We start from the raw sequence: 20,482 nt of genomic DNA on the forward strand, positions 1-20,482 counted from the left end.
ATCCTGGATGGAGAAGCAGACTTAGTTATCCATAGTATGATTTACCTAACATGGAATCTGTTGAGAAATTTTTTTTTTTTTTTTTTTTTTGAGACGGAGTCTTGCTCTGTCGCCCAGGCTGGAGTGCAGTGGTGCAATCTCGGCTCACTGCAAGCTCAGCCTCCCGGGTTCAAACAATTCTCATGCCTCAGCCTCCTAAGTAGCTGGGACTGCAGGCACGTGCCACCACGCCTGGCTAATTATTTGTATTTTTAGTAGAGACGGGGTTTCACCGTGTTAGCCAGGATGGTCTCGATTTCCTGACCTCGTGATCTGCCTGCCTCGGCCTCCCAAAGTGCTGGGATTACAGGCGTGAGCCACCGCATCTGGCTGAGAAATGGTTTAAAATTTTACCACGTTAATTACATTTGCAAGGTTTCTATCCAGTATGAATAATTTGGTAAAGCCTGAAGACACACTACTGATTAAAGGTCCTTCCATGTTAAGCACACTGATATGACTTTTTTCCTGTATAAATTCTCTCAAACTCCAAAAACATGAACATTTGATTTTTTTATTTTTTTGAGACAGAGTCTCACTCTTGTCACCCAGGCTGGAGTACAATGGCGCAATCTCGGCTTACAGCAACCTCCACATCCTGGATTCAAGTGATTCTTCTGCCTCAGCCTCCCAAGTAGCGGGATTACAGGTGCCCACCACTGCCCAGCTAATTTTTGTATTTTTTAGTAGAGATGGGGTTTCACCATGCTGGCCAGGCCGGTCTCAAACTCCTGACATCAGATGATCCACCCACCTCGGCCTCCCAAAGTGCTGGGATTACAGGTGTGAGCCACCATACCCAGCCCATTTGATTTTTAAAAAGGCTTACCACATTCGTTACATTTGTAAGACTGTTCTCCAGTATGAATACTCTGATGTTTCCATTTGGATGTTCGGGTAAAAAGTCTTAGCACACACATTACATTTGTCAAAGATGTATATTCTGAGGTCTAGTGAGTTCAGACACCTCGGGGAAGCCTCTAGCACATACATTTATACGATTTCTTTCCAATATAAACTCTCAAGTAGTGACTGAACTCTGGTGAAGCTTCTGCCACCCTCATTTCATTTGTAAAGCATATCTGCACTTTGAGTTATAGATCCACAAGTTTTGACCTTTAAGTAGTATTCTTGCCACATATACTACACTTCTGTGATTTCTCTCCAGGATGTATATTCTTATGCCTAGTGAACACTTGCTTAAAACTTAGCTATATTCTGGCCGGGCGCAGTGGCTCACGCCTGTAATCCCAGCACTTTGGGAGGCCGAGGCGGGTGGATCATGAGGTCAGGAGATCGAGACCATCCTGGCTAACAAGGTGAAACCCCGTCTCTACTAAAAATACAAAAAAAATTAGCCGGGCGCGGTGGCGAGCGCCTGTAGTCCCAGCTACTCGGGAGGCTGAGGCAGGAGAATGGCGTGAACCCAGGAAGCAGAGCTTGCAGTGAGCCGAGATTGCGCCACTGCAGTCCGCAGTCCCGCCTGGGCGACAGAGCGAGACTCCGTCTCCAAAAAAAAAAAAAAAAAAAAAAAAAAAAAAAAAAAACTTAGCTATATTCACTCCATGTGTAAATATATTAGGCCATAATTGCATGGCTAGACAGAAATACCTGAGGCTAGGTAATGTATAAAGAGGTTTAATTGACTCACAATTTTGCAGGCTTTATAGGAAACATGGCGCTGACGTCTGTTCACCCTCTCGGGAAACCTGAGGAAGGTTAAAATGATGGTGGGAGGTGAAGGGCATGTCACATGGCCAGAAGAACAAACAAGAGGGAGGTGCCATTCACTTTCGTGCGTGCGTGTGCGTGATGGAGTCTCACTCTGTCACCCAGGCTAGAGTGCAGTGGCGCGATCTCGGCTCACTGCAACCTCCGCCTCCAGGGTTCAAGCAATTCTCCTGACTCAGCCTCTCGAGTAGCTGGTACTACCAGTACCCGCCACGAAGCCCAGCTAATTTTTGTATTTTTGGCAGAAACAGGGTTTCACCATGTTGGCCAGGCTGCTCTTGAACTCCTGACCTCAAGTGATCCGCCCACCTCAGCCTCCCAAAGTGCTGGGATTACAGGCATGAGCCAGACCTCATGAGAACTATCACAAGGACAGCAACAAGGGGATGGTACTAAAACTTTCTTGAGAAAGCCACCCCCATCATCCAATCACCTCCCACTAGGCTCCACCTCCAATACTGGAGATTACTACAATTCCACATGAGACTTCAAAGGGAAAGGACAAATATACAAGCTATATGAGTAAGTATAAATTATTTGGGGATCCCAGAGGTTAGGACAACATCTAACGGCCTTTCCACATTGAGTTTAGTTGTAAGGTTCTCTCCAGCATGTTTTATCTGATGTTTAGTGAGGCCTGAGCGACTAATGTAAGATTTGCCACACTCATTACATTTATAAGGTTTTTCACTAGAATGAATTCGTTGGTGTTTAGTGAGGCAAGACCGCCGCCCAAACGCCTTGCCACATTCCATACATTTGTATGGCTTCTCTCCAGTATGGTTTCTCTGATGGTAAACCAAGTTTGACCTTTCGATAAAAGCTTTACCACATTCATTACATTTATAAGGTTTCTCTCCAGTATGCATCATCTGATGATTAAGCAGAATTGAACGTACTCTAAAGGCTTTGCCACACTCATTACATTTGTAAGGTTTCTCTCCAGTATGAATACTCCAATGACGTGCGAGGCCTGAGCGATAACGGAAGACCTTGCCACATTCATTACATTTGTAAGGTTTCTCTCCAGTATGAATTCTCCGATGCCTTGCCAGGGTTGTAGTGGAGTTAAAGACTTTCCCACATTCAATACATTTGTATGGCATCTCTCCAGTATGTCTTCTCTGATGGTACACCAGACTTGTTTTATGACTAAAAGTTCTACCACATTCACTACATTTGTGTGGTTTCTCCCCAGTAGGATTTCTGTGATATCTTGCAAGTTTTGAACTTTGGATAAAAGCCTCACCAAATTCATTACAGTGGTAAGGGTTCTCTCCAGTATGAATTACCAGATGTTTAGTGAGGCTTGAACGCTGAGTATAGGCTTTGCCACAATCATTACATTTATAAGGTTTCTCTCCGGTATGAATTTTCCGATGACGTGCTAGGCATGAGTAGTAACTGAAGACCTTGCCGCATTCGTTACACTGGAAAGGTTTCTCTCCGGTATGACTTCGCCTATGAATTGAAAGGTTTCCACTGTCAATGAAGACCTTGCCACACACATTACATTTGTAAGGTTTCTCTCCGGTATGCATTCTTTGATGACGTGCTAGGCATGAATAGTAAGTGAAGACCATGCCACATTTATTACAATGGAGAGGTTTCTCTCCAGTATGACATCTCATATGAACCGAAAGGTATCCACCGTAATTAAAGACCTTGCCACACACATTACATTTGTAAGGTTTCTCTCCGGTATGAATTCTCTGATGTACAGTTAGTAATGAGCCCCAATTAAAGGCTTTGCCACATTCATTACATTTGTAAGGTTTCTCTCCAGTATGAACTCTCTGATGCACTGCAAGATGTGAATGTTGACTGAAGACCTTGCCACATTCATTACATTTGTAGGGTTTCTCTCCAGTATGAATTCTCCGGTGCCCTGCAAGACGTGAACGTTGAAAGAAGACCTTGCCACATTCATTACATTTGTAAGGTGTCTCTCCAGTATGAATTATCTGGTGCCTTACAAGTTGTGAATTCTGATAAAAGACCTTGCCACATACATCACATGTATATGGTTTCTTTCCTGCATGGATTATATGATGTGCAGTGAGGCTTGAGTTCCGTTTAAAGGTTTTGCCACATTCATTACATTTGTAGGGTTTGTCTCCAGTATGAACTGTCTGATGAGTTGCAAGAGAGGAACTTTGACTAAAGCACTTCCCACATCGATTACATTTGTAAGGTTTCTCTCCAGTATGAATTCTCTGATGAACTGCAAGGTGGGAACTTTTACTAAAGGACTTGCCACATTCATTACATATGTAGGGTTTGTCTCCAGTGTGACTTCTCCGGTGATTTACAAGATCTGAATTTTGTCTGAAGATCCTGCCACATACATCACATTGGTATGGTTTCCCTCTTGTATGGACTATCTGATGTACTGTTAGTAGTGAGCCCCGATGAAAGGCTTTACCAGACTCATTGCATCTGTAAGGTTTCTCTGTAGTATGTATCATCTGATGATTAATAAGACTTGAAGACACTCTGAAGGCTTTGCCACACTCATTACCTATGTAAGGTTTTTCCCTAATATGTGTTTTCTCGTCTTGTGTAGGTAACGAAAGTTGCAAAAAATCATTCCCATATTTCCTAGAAATGTTGGTTTGGACACCAGGAAAAATTCTTTGAAGTGGTGAAGCTAAAAAACAATTATTAACTGTCCTCTCAATTTGATTACATCCATAAATTTTCTCTGCAGTTTGAAATTTCTGCAATTCACCCAGACCGGACTGAAACCTTAATATAAGCTGATTTTCCATATGCTTGTTTTCTACGTCCCCTTGACTATGTCGAACTCTTTGACCAGTAAGATTGTTTTTATGGGTCATCGGCCCTTCTTTATAATTTATTTCACCATCTTTCCATTGAAAGTCAACTTCCTGTAGATTTTTCCGGATTTCCCTGAAGTAAAAATTTTCAGTGTCATAGCTTTCATGTCCTTCCAACATCACTGCTTGGAATTTTTCTCCTGTGTTACTGTTCTGTATTGGTGGTAATTCCTTGATCACACATTTAGGAGAGATACCTGCAAAATATAATGAACATGGGGTTTTAAAATAACTATTATTGGTAAATATTATTTTATACTGAAAACACACTACGCTAAACATAATGTTTATACTAGCAAGTTGTGAAACTTTTCTACCATGATCTTCTATTTGTAGAAATGCAAAATGAATAGAATTCTATAGTAAAGAAAAAGTGATTACATGTAATTTAAATCAATTTTAGGAAAGCCTAGTTTCAAACATCCTTCGACCAAAAGACTCATGTTATGCAAACATATATGAGCACCAAAACAAGTATTTTGCAATCGCTGACCCCAAATGACACACCAATTGGCAGTAAACATATGGCTCCCTCATAATAGGAGAGAAAAAAAGTTACATATATTTATTTCATACAAATGAATGCCAAGCAACAGCAAGATATACTGTAATGGTAAATATTAACTAATAAATAATCATAATATAAATTAATTAATAAAACATTCTAATAGCCTGTGATAAAACCAGCAGGTAAATAATGAACAACCACAAAATACAAATCTATAGTATGAAATTCTAAACAATTCTCCATCAATAATAAGCAAGAATTTATATTCTAGAGGCAGTATATAACTAGAAAATATGTTGAGATCACTGGCTTTTAAAGATAAAAGAAAGGTAAATATGTCTATGGCCATACCACCGTGAATGCATCTGATCTTGTCTGATCTCAGAAACTAAGCAGTGTCAGAACTGGTTAGTACTTGGATGAGAGAAAGGTAAATATATAAAATAATAAAGAATAAAAATTGGGGACAGGTCAGCCGGGCACGGTGGCTCAAGCCTGTAATCCCAGCACTTTGGGAGGCCGAGGTGGGTGGATCACGAGGTCAGGAGTTCAAGACTAGCTTGGCCAACATGGTGAAATCTCGTCTGTACTAAAAGTAAAAAAAATCAGCCGGGTGTGGTGGCACGTGCCTGTAATCCCAGCTACTCCGGAGCCTGAGACAGGAGAATCATTGGAACCCAGGAGGCGGAGGTTGCAGTGAGCCAAGATTTCGCCACTGCACTCCAGCCTGGGCGACAGAGCAGTCTCAAAAAAAAAAAAAAAAATGGAGACAGGTATGGTGGCTCAGACCTATAATCCCAGCATTTTGAGAGGCCAAGGTGGGCAGATCACTTGAGGCCAAGAGTTTGAGACTAGCCAGGCCAACATGGTGAAACCTCATCTCTACTAAAAATATAAAACATTAGCCAAGCGTGGTGATGCATGCCTGTAATCCCAACTACTCAGGAGGCTGAAGCACGAGAATCACATAAACCTGTAAGGGGGAGGTTGCAGTCAGCCAAGATCACGACACTGCACTTCAGCCTGGGCAACAGAGCGAGACTGCCTCAAAAAAAGAATAAAACTTGGGAAAGGAAATCAGAAATCTCAGTTATGATTTCATGCCTACAACTATGTAACAAACAACAGAGCAAGTCCCTATGTATTCATTGTCTTTTTTTGCTTTTGGCTGAGATGGAGTCTCACTCTGTCACCCAGGCTGGAGTACAGTGGCATGATCCCACCTCACTGCAACCTCCAACTCACAGGCTCAAGCGATCCTCCCACCTCAGCCTCCTGAGAGCTGGGACCACAGATGCATGCCATCATGCCCGGTTAATTTTTTTGTAGTTTTGGTAGAGATGAGGTTTTGCCATGTTGCCCAGGCTGGTCTGGAACTCCTAAGCTCAAACAATCTGCCCACCTCTGCCTCCCAAAGTGCTGGGATTATAGGCATGAGCCACCGTGCCCAGTCCTATTCACTGTCTTTATTATCCAGTTCCTTGGCCACAAAATATATATGATACAGAGATTGTACTTGGAAAATGCATGAACTGAGATAAAAGACAACACCGTTTGGACCAAACTGCAAAATGAAAACTTACAGATACAATGTAGACTGCTCTGATATAAAGACTTATGTCTGCCAAAATTCCTATGTTAAGGCCCCATCCTCAATGTGATAGTATTTGGAAGTGTGGTCTTTGGAAGGCAATTAGGTCAGGATGGTGCATAGAACTTCAGGAATGCAATTAGCAGAAACGTGAAAAAGCCTCTGCTTTTTGCATGACAATCTCTCTGCCACATGAGAACACAGAGTCAGCCATGGCACACCAGAAAAAAGTCCACACCAAGAACCAAAGTGGCTGGCTCTGACATGTTGAACTTTGCACCACCCAGATCTGTGAAAAGTCCATTTCTGCTGTTTAAACCACCCTATCTATGGTATCTGATATAGCTAGTCATGCTGACTAAGGTAAAGCCAATATGCTATCTCATTATAAACATGAAACAATGTTGATACACGTTATTAAACAAATTTGTGAGTCTGTACTATAAAACATGCAATATTCTAAGCTAGCTAACAGCATTAACTTGTTTAAAAAGTCTTTAGGTAAATTATCACTATTTAACAAACAAGCACACTAAATATGCCCACAGGATTTATGTATCTATACCCAATTTACAAAGAAAGTAAGACACAAGAACCTGGGTTTGCAAGATCAAACATGTTTTTTAAAAACAACTTCCCAAACAAGCAGTGCAGATAACAGGTCAACCCAAATATCAAGAGTGTAGAAATACTTCAAGAGCCATTTTGTGTAGAGCACCTGATTCTGTCGCTGTTCAGGGTGCCACTATGTAACCCACATGGACCTAGGAGGACTGAACAAAGGGGGCGAATGCGGGAATAAAAGACAAGAGACAAAAGAGTATATTTGGAAGAAGGGGTCAGGGGCACCTTGCCTGTAGTGGACAAGGGCCCTGAGCTTTACACAGCCGTCCGTATTTATTAGGCAAGAGAGATAGTGAGAAGGATGGTGGAAGAAGGGGTCAGCTGCGCAGTCCAGAGTAGGCTTGCAAGACTGCATTCCTCAAACAACAGGCTCTAGATATGGCAGTAGATAACCCTGGCACCAGGAAGTGATTGCCTCCAGCAAACCTTCTGTCAGCAGGAGCAGTCATGAGTTTGCCCACATCCTGCATTCATGATAAACAGTTTGCTGTTTGATCATATAGCCTCCAGTGGAATGCTGAGTTGGTCACGTCCCACAGGCTTTGGCTCCCTGCAATGCTGTGTTGCCAAAAGCATTATTCAGCCATCCGTCATGAATAACGAACGGTATCTGAGTCATCATCCCCTGCACATATTGATTTACGCAGTGTTATCAGACAGTGGTCAAGTGAATGAGTAGGGGTCACCCCTTACAGAGTGAGAGTAGCATGGGAGGTGAGGGAGTTCTGCAATAATGGGAGTATAAAATTAATATGCTAGTCAGTAACTGGGTAGTCCATCTGGACAAAGTAATATGTTAGGAAAGGCCCAGGAGGACAAAGGGCAAGAGGGGAGATCAAGGAGTAATGAGCATGGAGCAGCAGGGTTTGTGCTTGAAGAGCTGTGGGAATAGAATTGCACAAGAAACAGCTAAAATCCTGGCTTTGGAAGAAAAGAGAAACTAATGTAGAGGTAGTATTGTACTGACTAATACTTAAACATGAGAATTATACTATGGGTGCAGGACAACAAGGGAAGACAATTAAAAAGGAGGCGGTGTGATGATATGGGAAGAAAACAGATTTATGTCTCTATAATATTTGCTATGAAATTTATCAAACTGAATGTCCCATAAGTTCTATTTCCAGGTATATGCTCAACAACCCTACATATCAAGAGATATGTGAAAGACTGTTCTTACAATTCAATCCTTAAGAAAAAACCTGAAAATGGCCACGAAGAGGAGATGGATGAATTCATTTTGTACACACACAAAGACACCACAAAACTTTACTGATAGTACAAGAACGTTAAGGAGACGGGGTGCAGAATGAGGACCCGTAGCACAACAGGCAAAGATTTGAGAAAACAAAGAAAGCAGGAGACTCTTGTCAAGGTTTAAATATATGTTAATGGAGACACAGTATATACGATGAAAGTATCCTGGGATATCAAAAACACAACATGGAAGCAGATCTGTAAAAAGTCATTTCTGTATGTAATTGAAGTTAAGCTGTTATTAGTTTAAAATAGGATGTTATAAATCTAAAGTGTTTTCTGTAATTGCAACGGTAACCACAGAGAATGTATAGAAGACACACACAATGGAAATAAAACTATTTCAGGAAAAAAAAATCAACTATATAAAAACGAAGGCAGTAAGACAAACAGAACAAAAAAATCTAAAAGAGATATAGAAAGCACTTAACACAATGGCAATATAAGTCCTTTTCTATCAGTAATTACATTAAATGTAAGTGTTTATACTCCACAGTCAAAAGACAGAGACTGGCTGAATAAATTTTTAAAACTGGCTTCAGCTGCACACTATCCAGAAAATACTCATTTTAATTCAAAGGACACACATAGGCTGAACTGAAGGGATGAAAAAAGATATGCCCTCAAAATGTTAACCGAAAGACATCAGAGGTGGCTAAACTGATGTCAGCCAAAATAGACTTTATGTCAAAACTGGTACAAGAGACAAAGAAGGGCATTATATAATGATTAAAAGGTTAATTCACTAGGAGGATATAACAATATGTGCCTATATAGAGATCCTCAATATGTGAAGCAAAATTAACGTAACTAAAGGGAGAAGTAGTTCCACAGTAATAATAAGAGACTTCAATGGCCTATTTTTACTTATAAATAGGACAATCAGACAGAAGAAAAACAAGGAACTAGAGAACCTAAACTATATATCAAGTTGAACCTAACCTATATATGCATAACACATCACCCAAAAACAGTGCAATACAAATTTTTCAGAACTGCACATGAAACATTTTTCAAAAGAAATATCGGAAAAGAAAAAAAATTTTAAACTTTTTAAAGACTAAAATCGTAAAGCATAACTTATCCCATCATAATAAAATAAAACTAGAGATCAACAGCAGAAGAAAATTAGATTATCAACAAATATGTGGAAACAACATACTCTTAGGCCGGTGTGGTGGCTCACGCCTGTAATCCCAGCAATTTGGGTGGCTGAGGCAGGTGGATCACCTGAGGTCAGGAGTTCGAGACCAGCCTGGCCAACATAGTGAAACCCTCAGCCAAGCATGGTGGCAGATGCCTGTAATCCCAGCTACTCGGGAGGCTGAGGCAGGAGAATCGCTTGAACCCAGGAAGTGGAGGTTGCAGTGAGCCGAGATTGCACCACTGCACTCCAGCCTGGACAACAAGAGCGTAACTCCGTCTCAAAAAACAAAAACAAACAAACAAGGACCATACTCTTAAACAGCCAATATGTCAAATTAGAAATCACAAGGGAAATTTTAAAAATCTCAAAACAAAGGAAAATGAAAATAGAACATACCAAAACTTGTGAATGCAGGAAAAACAGTGCTAAGATAGAAAATCTGCAGATATAAATGCTAACATTAAAACAGAAGATATCCAATGGAACAGAATAGGAAACCCAGAAATACAGCCACACACCTACAACCAACTGATCCTTGATAGTCAAAAAAAAATTGGGAAAAGACATTCTATTCAATAAAGGGTGCTAGAAAAACTGGCTAGCCATATATAGAAGAATGAAACTGGACTCCTATCTCTTGTCATATACAAAAATTAATTCAAGATGAATAACGACTTACATTAAGTCTTCAAGCTACAAAAATTCTAGAAGAAAATCTAGGAAAAACTTTTCTGGACAAAATACAAGTTGTTGTTTTTTTTTCTTTTTTTTTTTTAGAGACAGGGTCTTGCTCTGTCGCCCAGGCTGAAGTACAGCAGTGTGATCTCAGCTCAATGCAACCTCTGCCTACTGGCTTCAAGCAATTCTCTTGTCTCAGCCTCCCAAGTAGCTGAGATTACATGCATGTGCCACCACACCCGGCTAATTTTTTTGTATTTTTAGTAGAAACAGGGATTCACCATGTTGGTCAGGCTGGTCTCGAACTCCTGACCTCAGACCTCAAAATGATCCGCCTGCCTCAGCCTCCCAAAGTGCTGGGATTACAGGCATGAGCCATTGCTCCTGGCCCAATACCAGTTTTTTAAGAGAATTTATTCTTCATTGCTTGAGCATCACGAAAAAAATATATAGGTTTTATAAATAGTAGAGAAGTCCCTGAAGTGTAAGAAATGGGCTAAGTTTAAAATAAAGTTAGATTTTTAAATAATGATTCAGTATAACATGATGGACATGAATGTAGATAGGAGAATAGTTATTATAATACAGCATTTGTTCCAAGAAAGAAAAAAACAGTGCAATTTGAACAAAACCCAGCAAGCTATATTTAGGAAACTGAAACTTACTACAGAAAAGCAATGTATGTTATATAACAAAGAACGATCAATCTATTAAATGGTATTTCCACAATTAAGATAGTAACTTAAAAAATTATGCTCAAGATATTAAAAATTTCCAACTTAAAAACTGTAATCAATTTAACCGACAAATATATACTTTCATAGTAGGAATTAAGTCAGGTGAAACAGAAGTAAAAGGAATAACTGATACTATCAATACAACATTATGGAGTTTCTGTAAGTTTTAGGGAAACTGCTGCTGAGCTATACCATCTGTACTAAAGAAGGAAATCTTGTAAAATACATAAAACAATATGCATTCCCCAACACAACACTACCACAATAGAAACATAAAACAAAGAAAACTGAGTATCCTCAAAAATATGGAACTGATTAAATAAATAAAAACAAAGTTCATTTATAATACATGAAAATGCATCAGATGAAAGCAATGGTTGCTTAAAACGAATTTTGTGGACTTAAAAAAGATAAGCCTCATTCAACTTCATTAGCTTCCTCAAGATCAAAGTCGTACTCACTATAAACAAAAATACTGGGGAAGAAAAGTGTGGCATGAGCAGTGGTTCAGGCAACAGCCCTGCAGAGATGAAGCTGTGAACCTGGACAATGTTCTTCCCGGGAGAAATTTTTTTTTTTGAGACAAAGTCTCGCTCTTGTTCCCCAGGCTAGAGTGCATGGCGCAATCTCAGCTCACTACAACCTCCGCCTCCCAGATTTGAGAGATTCTCCTGCCTCAGCCCCCCGAGTAGCTGGGATTACAGGTGCCTGCCACCACGCCCGGCTAACTTTTGTATTTTTAGTAGAGACGGGGTTTCACCAAGTTGGCCAGGCTGGTCTAGAACTCCTAACCTCAGGTGATCCACCCGCCTCAGCCTCCCAAAGTGCTGGGATTACAGGCGTTGAGCCACCGTGCCCGGCATGGGAGAAATTCCTACACCATTCACTGCTAGCTCAAAAAAGAGGACCATTAGTATATGAGATCAACATTGCCACAGTACCCTTGAAAGATACTTTTGTGACATTTCTCAGAAACCAGGCTCTTGTGATGGTCTCTATCTGAATATCATGACAAATGCTGATCATTCTACTCTGGCTTTAATAGTTACCTCTGTATGTAGCAAGATGATGTTAAAACTCATTACTCAAAGTGCTCTCCTTCAAAAATTTTCTCTTACCCAGTAAACTCACTCCATACAATAGTCCACAAGATATTCATAACCCCAAGATGGGTTATCACAGCAGGAAAAAAGCATAAAATGTCCGACCCTAGAAATGCATTTATCCAAAGCAAGTCTCAGAGGCAAAAAATCACACAAACATAAAAGAGAATGCAAGATCAGAAAGAGCCAAGGCATAAACAAGACAGAGAAAAACACAGGAATTGGATTGTGAGGGATCTTGAAATGAGACAGTGCTCTGTCCACAGATCCCAAACTAAGAGTGTGAAGACAGAGATACGCTCCCTGTGTAGGACTAAGAATAAAGAGAGGACCTTTGTGTCAACTGTCTTTACAATTCTTATATGTAACAATCTCAGGAGACCCAACTCATTCCCGTGTCACAAACCCAAGAAGAGTGTCCAAAGAAGAACTAAGAAAATGGCTGAGGGACCTGAACAGGCAGAGAGGGCTGAAGATAGTCCAGTTCTAGGACCCCAGCTTCAAAGGAAGGGCAACCAATGTTTCCTCATCTCCTGACCAGCACTTTCAAGTATAGGAAATGGGGTGGAACCAGAAAAGTTCCAGGCACCAGGACTATGGAGCCCTCAGCTCCAATCTATATGGATCAGAGAACTGAGGATCAGATGGAATCAAGAACAGGAGGAGAGACCACACGGGAAAGAGACTTCTTTGAAAAGGCCCTTCCCATGCCACAGAGTCAAAGCATCAGAGTTCACACAATACAGATGACACTGTGGTCCATCATAACAGTCTTGTACTTTGCTCTGTTTGAGCTGCAGCAACCCCTGGAGAGTGAAAGGTAAAGTTATACGTGTCTGGAAAGCAAAGTGATAAGCAGGAAAGAAGAAAACTTCTGGAGCTCACAGAAAATCAAATTTGTTTCCCCACAGAACTCTCCCACTTGCAGAGTCTTACGCACACAATTTCATGGTACCGCTTCCATTGTGCCCATCTGAGCTCTTACCGGTGATCACGCCTTTCATGCATTCCCCACAGTTTGGGTTCCTCGCTATTTTCACTTGGCTCACCACAGTCCAGGGCTCTTTCCCTTGCTCCAACATGGAGATAATATTCAGGTCAGGAAGACAGAGTCCTGCTTATAAAAAAAGAAAGAAGATGTCCCACGGTTTTTCCAGAACCCAGCCTAATGTCTAGGTAGAAGAGAAAACACTGCAGTTGAATCTACAAAATATTTCACAAACTCATCCATTGATTGCCTCCTTCTGAATGCTTAGTGAACACTGTAAGATGAAGATATCTAGCTCTCTCCCAAGAAATACTGAATCAAAAACACAGGGATAGGCCAAGCATACTGGCTCAAGCCTGTAATCTCAGCACTTTGGGAGGCCAAGACGGGAAGATGACTTGAGCACAGGAGTTCAAGATCAGCCTAGGCAACAGAGTGAAACCCTGTCTCTACCTGGGCATGGTGTTGCACACCCACAGTCCCAGCTACTTGGAAGGCTAAGGTGGGAGGATGGCTTTATCCCAAGAAGCTAAGGTTGCAGTGTGCCAAGATCACAAGATCACACCACTGCACTCCAGCCTGGGTGACAGACTGAGACTGTGTCAAAAAAAAAAAAAAAAAGCACAAGGATAGAAAACAGGAAGAACAGGGAATTGGATATATTAACTCCGCCATAAGGTTTTACACGTACCTCAGCTCTGGAGTCACCACTAATGTACAAAGAAGGAAGCAGAATATCCATAGAAATGGGACAGTTAAAGGCCAGATGCAGCATTATGAAGCTTTTTATTTGTGAATCAACAAGGCTTCAGTCTCTGTCAAATAATGTAGGGCCTCACAAGAAACACAATAAGGAAAGTACAAAAATGCACAAGGGAAGATCCTAACTTCTGGAGGAAAACTATCCTCACCCAGGAAGCCGAGGTTCCTGTAGTTCTCCAACATCACGTCCCTGTACAAAGCTTTCTGAACAGGGTCCAGGCATTTCCACTCCTCCTGAGAGAATTCTACAGCCACATCCCTGAATGTCAAAGATCCCTGAAATGAAAAACACATTTCAATATGAGCAGTGGGTGAGCTCTTATCTTTACATAAAATGAGAAGAGGAGAGAACTGTCACATCAATTTGATTGAAGTGTGTTTTGACATATCCATTAAAAGTATCTGTGAGATAATTACGTCTCCCTGATTTTGGGTTTTATAAAATTCAATAGGAGATTAGGATATTATCTAAATCGGTGCACATTTCTCACTTTTGTGGACAAAATAAGAAATAAACACATGGTTATCCCTATGAAAGTTTTAGATATTACATTTGTTACACCAAGTGAGGTGTCCAGATGAGCTAGAATACAAGTGGTGTCTTCAGAGATGACAATGTTCTTAGTGGCTTTAAAGAAAGGTCAGAAACTAAAAACAGCGATGACAAGAGCAACAGCAAGAACTAAAGTTTTGGAACACTCCCCATGTACCGGGCATTACTTCAAAGGATTTACGTGTTCTAACTCAAATGATGACATAATCACCTATGACAGAAATATTTCTTCCCATCTTACTAGAAGACAACTGTGTCACAGACAGGCTAAGAAAGTCACCTAGGTCAACAACCTGCAAACAGCAGAGCAAGCACCTGAACCCAGATGTCTAAAAATTAGAGTTGAATCAACAGAATCCGACAGTTATATTACAGAGTATGTCCTAGTCTTTCTGTGTGGCTATAACGAAATAAGAGAGACTAACTAACTTATGAACAACAGAAATGTATTTCTCATGATTCTGCTGGCTGGGGAATCCAAGATCAAGGTGTCAGCAGGACTGATGTCGCTGAGGGCTAATCCCTGCTTCGAAGATGGTCTTGTTGCTGCATAGGGGACGAATGCTACAGTATACTGACAGAGGGTTGCCTGAGAAAACTTGAAGCAAGTTCAAGATTAACTTGGAACCGCATAAAGGATCATTATATAGGCTAGGCGTGGTGGCTCACACCTCCATCTTAGCACCTTGGGAGGCCAAGATGGGTGGATCATGAGGTCAAGAGATCGAGATCATCCTGGCCAATATGGTGAAACCCCATCTCTACTAAAAATACAAAAATTAGCTGGGCGTGGTGGTGTGCACCTGTAGTCCCAGCTACTGGGGAGGCTGACACAGAATTACTTGAACCTGGGAGGTGGAGGTTGCAGTGGGCCGAGATCATGCCACTGCACTCCAGCCTGGAGACAGAGTGAGACCCCATCTCAAAAACAAAGAAAAAAAAGATCATCATATAAGCACACAGAAGCACACACATAATACATTACTATTCATAAAACTAATCCATTCACATGATAATATAGAAGGCAATTTTAAAAATTAAGCAAATCACTGGGACAAAGAAATATGTAAAAAAGTTTTTATAATCCCAGCACTTTGGGAGGCCGAGGTGGGCGGATCACAAGGTCAGGAGATCGAGACCATCCTGGCTAACACGGTGAAACCCTGTCTCTACTAAAAATACAAAAAATTAGCCGGGTGTGGTGGCCGGCGCCTGTAATCCCAGCTACTCGGGAGGCTGAGGCAGGAGAATGGCATGAACCCGGGAAGCAGGGCTTGCAGTGAGCCGAGATCGCACCACTGCACTCCAGCCTGGGTGACAGAGCAAGACTCCATCTCGGAAAAAAAAAAAAAAAAAGTTTTTAAAGAAAAAACATTTTAAGGCCATAGAAACATTTAAGATATAATTTTCAATAGTGTTCCCAAGCCTGTATCTTATGTAGAGAAAAGAAAAAAATTAAAATAAAACCAAGTAAATAATTTCAACTGTGAAAAGATAATAGGCTGATTTATGAAATGATGATGTTGTAAATAAAAACCAAAGCATACAAACATTTAAATTAACTGAAATAAGACGCTATCTCTCAATGACATATTTTTTGGATGACTTTTTAAATCATTATTCTTAGACATGTATGTTTTAGCATGCTTGGGACAATGAAAATGTATAAATTGTATTTCATTTACTTTGTACTTAGTACTTCATTTACTTATTTACTTAGTACTTCATTTACTTATTTATTTTGTACTTATTCAATACTAGGCTGGAGAAAATGGTACAAAATTTTAAAAGTATATAAACTTTTATTACAATTACTATTAAATGCCTATATTTAAATATCTAAGTGCAATTTTATCCAGTTAAATTTAGCTACTTATGCATTAACAAAAGCCAAATGGAGTTTATTCGTTTATTCCACCAATAAATAAAACAGTGATTCAAGATTAGGTGGTTTATAAGTGTAATACATTAAAATTTAACAGATTAAGATAGAAACAATATGTATTGCAGCAGTATATGCTTGCATAAATTATTAGAAAATTTAAAAATCATGTTGCAAAGGAAATCTGTAAAAAAAAAAAAAAAAAAAAAACCCAAAAACTGTTAAGGAAAAATATTTCACCCAACAAGTGAAACACTGGATTCATTTCCTCTAAATTAAGTAAGAGAAAAGGGGGTTTTTCATTTCCTCTAAATTAAGAGAAAAGGGGGTTGGCCAGACCTCCTGTCATTCACCACTGCACTGGATGTCTGAGCAGCAGCAAAGAGAAAAGGTGGGAGGGAAAAAGGCAAGGAGGGGGTAGAGCCAAAGAGTTAGATCTACTAAAATTAAGAGATAACATGATTGTGGCCGGGCACGGTGGCTCATACCTGTAATTCCAGCACTTTGGGAGGCCAAGGCGGGAGGATCACCTGAGGTTGGGAGTTCAAGACCAGCCTGACCAACATGGAGAAATCCCGTCTCTACTAAAAATACAAAATTAGCCGAGCATGGTGGCACATGCCTGTAATCCCAGCTACTAGGGAGGCTGAGCCAGGAGGATCGCTTGAACCTGGGAGGCGGAGGTTGCGGTGAGCTGAGATCGCACTATTGTACTCCAGCCTGGGCAACAAGAGCGAAACTCCATCTCAGGGAAAAAAAAAAAAAAAAAAAGAGATAACATGATTGCAACCCAGAAAAAGAATGTTTAAGTATACAAGCTAACAATGCTAACAATGTACTGAAATAATCTTCCTACTTTAGTAACACTAATTTAAAAACAACACACACACTTCTAAATTTTCATTAGCATATATACCATGGCACTTAAGTACAATACATTTTCAGAATTATGTGAACAAATTATAAAACTACACTGAGTGATGTCGGCAAGATAAAGGAACAGGAATCCCCAAACTCTCCAGTCACCACAGTGAAATGATTTTAACAACAATTCATGGACTAATTGCCTCGGGGATAAATCCAGAAAACAGTTAGGAGGTTTCTACACCTCAGGCTGACATAAAGCAAACAGTATAGAAGCTCTGAAGGAAAATTTGAAGCATCCACTTGACAGAGATCCAGCCCCTGCCATGCACTGGGGTAACAGAAAAGAAACCCACAACTCCCAAGATCATCTAGGGGATGGAAAGGAGCAGAATATCTGTCCAACTTCCTGACTTTTCAGATGACCAACTGATGGGCTGGTTTCTCTCTTCCTGAATATAAGCACTGACAAGAACAAGGTGAAAGGTTAGGGGCCACTGAGAAAAAGGATGATTTACATAAACCAGTGTGTGCAGTAACACAGACAAACGCTAAGTGCATATCTAGTACTACAGCTTACTGTAGCACCAAAGTCTGCAATATCAAAGACAGACAACAGGGGAGCTTCTGGGTAGAAACTAGCAAACATTTTCAATGAAGAGATGACAAGCAAAGGCCCAGAGAGGACAAAATCCCCAGCCAGAAAAGGTGTGGAAGGTCTCCACAATCTAGCTGAGTTGACTCCAGAGTGTCCTCCCTGAACAAAGCAACCACCCAAAACTGGGGAGGTAGATGATTTTTAAAATAGGGAAGTGCCAAAAGAAGATAATAAAACTTACAAAGAAATAGGAAAATACAGTCCATAAAAAGAAACCAATTAAGTCTCTACAAACCTACACTAAAGAAATGGTGATTTAAATCTTGGCTTTGAAGAACTAAAAGGAAATGGGGATCACCCTCAGTATATGCAGAGGATTGGTTCCAAGATTCCCTAAGGGGACCAAAATCTATGGATACTGAAGTCCCTTATATAAAAAGGCATAGTATTTGCATATAACCTACCTATATCTTCCCATATGATTTAAATCATCTCTACATTACTTATAATAGCTAATACAATGTAAATGCTACATAAGTAGTTGTTATACTGCATTGTTTAGGAAATAATGACAAGAAAAAAAGGACCATACGTGTTCAACACAGATGAAACCATCCATTTTTTTCTGGCTATTTGTAGTTCATAGTTGGCTCCATCTATGGCTGCACGAGCCATGAATACAGAGGGCTGACTATATGTGAATTACCAAAGAATTTGAAATAGCAGCCACAAGAATGCTCAATGAGTTAAAAGATAGCACACACAGACAAGCTCACGAAATCAGGAAAACTATATGAACTATGCATGCAAAGAAGAATATCAACAGAAATAGAAGCTATAAAGAAAAATCAAAAAGAAATTCTAAGGCTGGGCACCGTGGCTCACGCCTGTAATTCCAACACTCTGGGAGCCCAAGATGGGGTAATTGCTTAAGCCCAGGAGTTCTGAGACCAGCCAGGGCAACATGGCAAAATCCCATCTCTACAAAGAGTACAAAAATTAGGCAGGTGTGATGGTGCATGCCTGTAGTCCCAGCTACTCAGGAGGCTGAAGTGGGAGGTTCATTTGAACCCGGGAGGCAGAGGATACAGTGATCCAAGATCGTGCCACTGCACTCCAGCCTGGGAAAGAGTGAAACCCTGCCTGAAAACAAAACAAAAGAAAGAAAAAAAGTCGAGTTAAAAATACAATAACTGAGTTGAAAAATTCGCTAGATGAATTCAACAGCTGACTTAATGAGGCAGAAGAAGGAATCAGTGAACTCAAAGGGGATTTTGACACGGAGGAAAACAAAAACTATAAAAAATAAAGAAAAATAAAGAGAGTCTAAAGGGCTCATGGGGAAACCATCAAGCATCAAGAACGTATGTATCCTGAAAGCCCAATAAATAATGTGAATATACCTAACATTACTAAACTGTAAGCAAACAAACAAGCTTTACTGAAAGACATAATAAAGATATGATCACTGACTGACAAACTCAATTCTTATAGGAAGATGTGATGGTGACAAGACCTGCGACTGTAAAAATTCATGGCCATTCAAACACAAACAAAATATGTGGGAATTTAATAAAATGTGACTGTTGTATAAAAAAAGAACCAACAAAATTTTGGAAAGAAAATGGAGAGGTTTGCCAATCTTCATATGAACCTATTATGACATTTATAATCTGAAACTTTAAAAGCAATCAAATATAATCTACAAAAAGATATACACAAAAATTCAAATTAAAGATTCAATCAAAAAAATTCATGCAAAGAAAATGTAAGCAAGAAACATGAGATTTTAAAGAAACTTCATATTTTATAATCACACCGTGAGCCAGGCCTTCCAGAAGATAAAACAAACATTTACTTATTTTTGCTTTTGTGGTATACCATCCTAAAAGAAGCAATCATTCTTTGAACTGCCATTGAAGTAACCCTCAGACACTTGTGGTGAAGACAGCATGCACAGAGGAAGCCACAGTGACATTCTTTGCAAAAATGAAAAATTGTAAAAGATCCATATGTCTTCATTTAGAAATTGCTCCAAAGAGGATGCAAAATACGCTATTAGTGTTTATTAACATAAAAACATGTACATTTCAGGCTGGGCACGGTGGCTGACACCTGTAATCCCAGCACTTTGGGAGGCTGAGGCAGGCGGATCACTAGGTCAGGAGATCGAGACCATCCTGGTTAACACGGTGAAACCCCATCTCAACTAAAAATACAAAAAATTAACTGGGCACAGTGGTAGGTGCCTGTAGTCCCAGCTACTCAGGAGGCTGAGGCAGGAGAATGGTGTGAACCCGGGAGGCGGAGTTTGCAGTGAGCTGAGATTGCGTCACTGCACTCCAGCCTGGGCGACAGAGCAAGACTCCGTCTCAAAAAAAAAAAAAAAATGTACATTTCAAAAACTTGCAAAATACAGCAGAACATTCACTTAAGAATTGTTTTCTAAAATCTCATAATGACGTGTAAATGCATCTTGACACCTCTCACTGACTCTTGCCACAGAACTTACAATAGTAGCTCCTCAATGAAACATGAGGCATGGTGGAGAATGTGACAGGGAAAAGGAACCTGGGTTCC

The 20,482-nt window shown here is 40.3% G+C and overlaps 1 protein-coding gene and 1 pseudogene across 19 annotated transcripts in view, besides 2 other annotated features; both read right to left on the reverse strand.

Moving 5' to 3' along the window:
* Positions 1-20,482, reverse strand: part of ZNF841 (zinc finger protein 841) — a 37,276-nt gene that overhangs the window by 4,314 nt on the left and 12,480 nt on the right. For 8 of the 19 annotated variants that reach the window (NM_001369826.1, NM_001352298.2, XM_047438655.1 and 5 more), the window contains 3 exons: positions 14,155-14,281; positions 13,241-13,369; positions 1,662-4,807 (listed from right to left, as the gene is read on the reverse strand). In NM_001369826.1, coding sequence (NP_001356755.1) covers positions 2,304-4,807; positions 13,241-13,369; positions 14,155-14,281 — 2,760 coding nt within the window. In that variant the 3' untranslated portion in view covers positions 1,662-2,303. Of the gene's footprint in view, positions 1-1,661; positions 4,808-13,240; positions 13,373-14,154; positions 14,282-20,482 lie in introns of those variants that run through there. The other 11 variants (XM_047438652.1, XM_017026653.2, XM_047438651.1 and 8 more) reach the window with 4 other exon arrangements.
* LOC100419835 (zinc finger protein 160 pseudogene) lies at positions 386-1,223 on the reverse strand (annotated as a pseudogene).
* Positions 2,211-3,410: an enhancer, noted in NCBI's record as "CDK7 strongly-dependent group 2 enhancer chr19:52568267-52569466 (GRCh37/hg19 assembly coordinates)". NCBI's record gives its function as "activates an origin of replication core promoter dependent on BRD2, BRD4, P300/CBP, MED14 and CDK7 cofactors, with strong dependence on CDK7, by STARR-seq in HCT116 cells {active_cell/tissue: HCT116}" and the evidence as "EXISTENCE:reporter gene assay evidence [ECO:0000049][PMID:35650434]".
* Positions 7,327-8,526: an enhancer, noted in NCBI's record as "CDK7 strongly-dependent group 2 enhancer chr19:52573383-52574582 (GRCh37/hg19 assembly coordinates)". NCBI's record gives its function as "activates an origin of replication core promoter dependent on BRD2, BRD4, P300/CBP, MED14 and CDK7 cofactors, with strong dependence on CDK7, by STARR-seq in HCT116 cells {active_cell/tissue: HCT116}" and the evidence as "EXISTENCE:reporter gene assay evidence [ECO:0000049][PMID:35650434]".

The sequence above is a fragment of the Homo sapiens genome, chromosome 19, assembly GCF_000001405.40.
Source record: "Homo sapiens chromosome 19, GRCh38.p14 Primary Assembly".
NCBI lineage: Eukaryota > Metazoa > Chordata > Mammalia > Primates > Hominidae > Homo > Homo sapiens.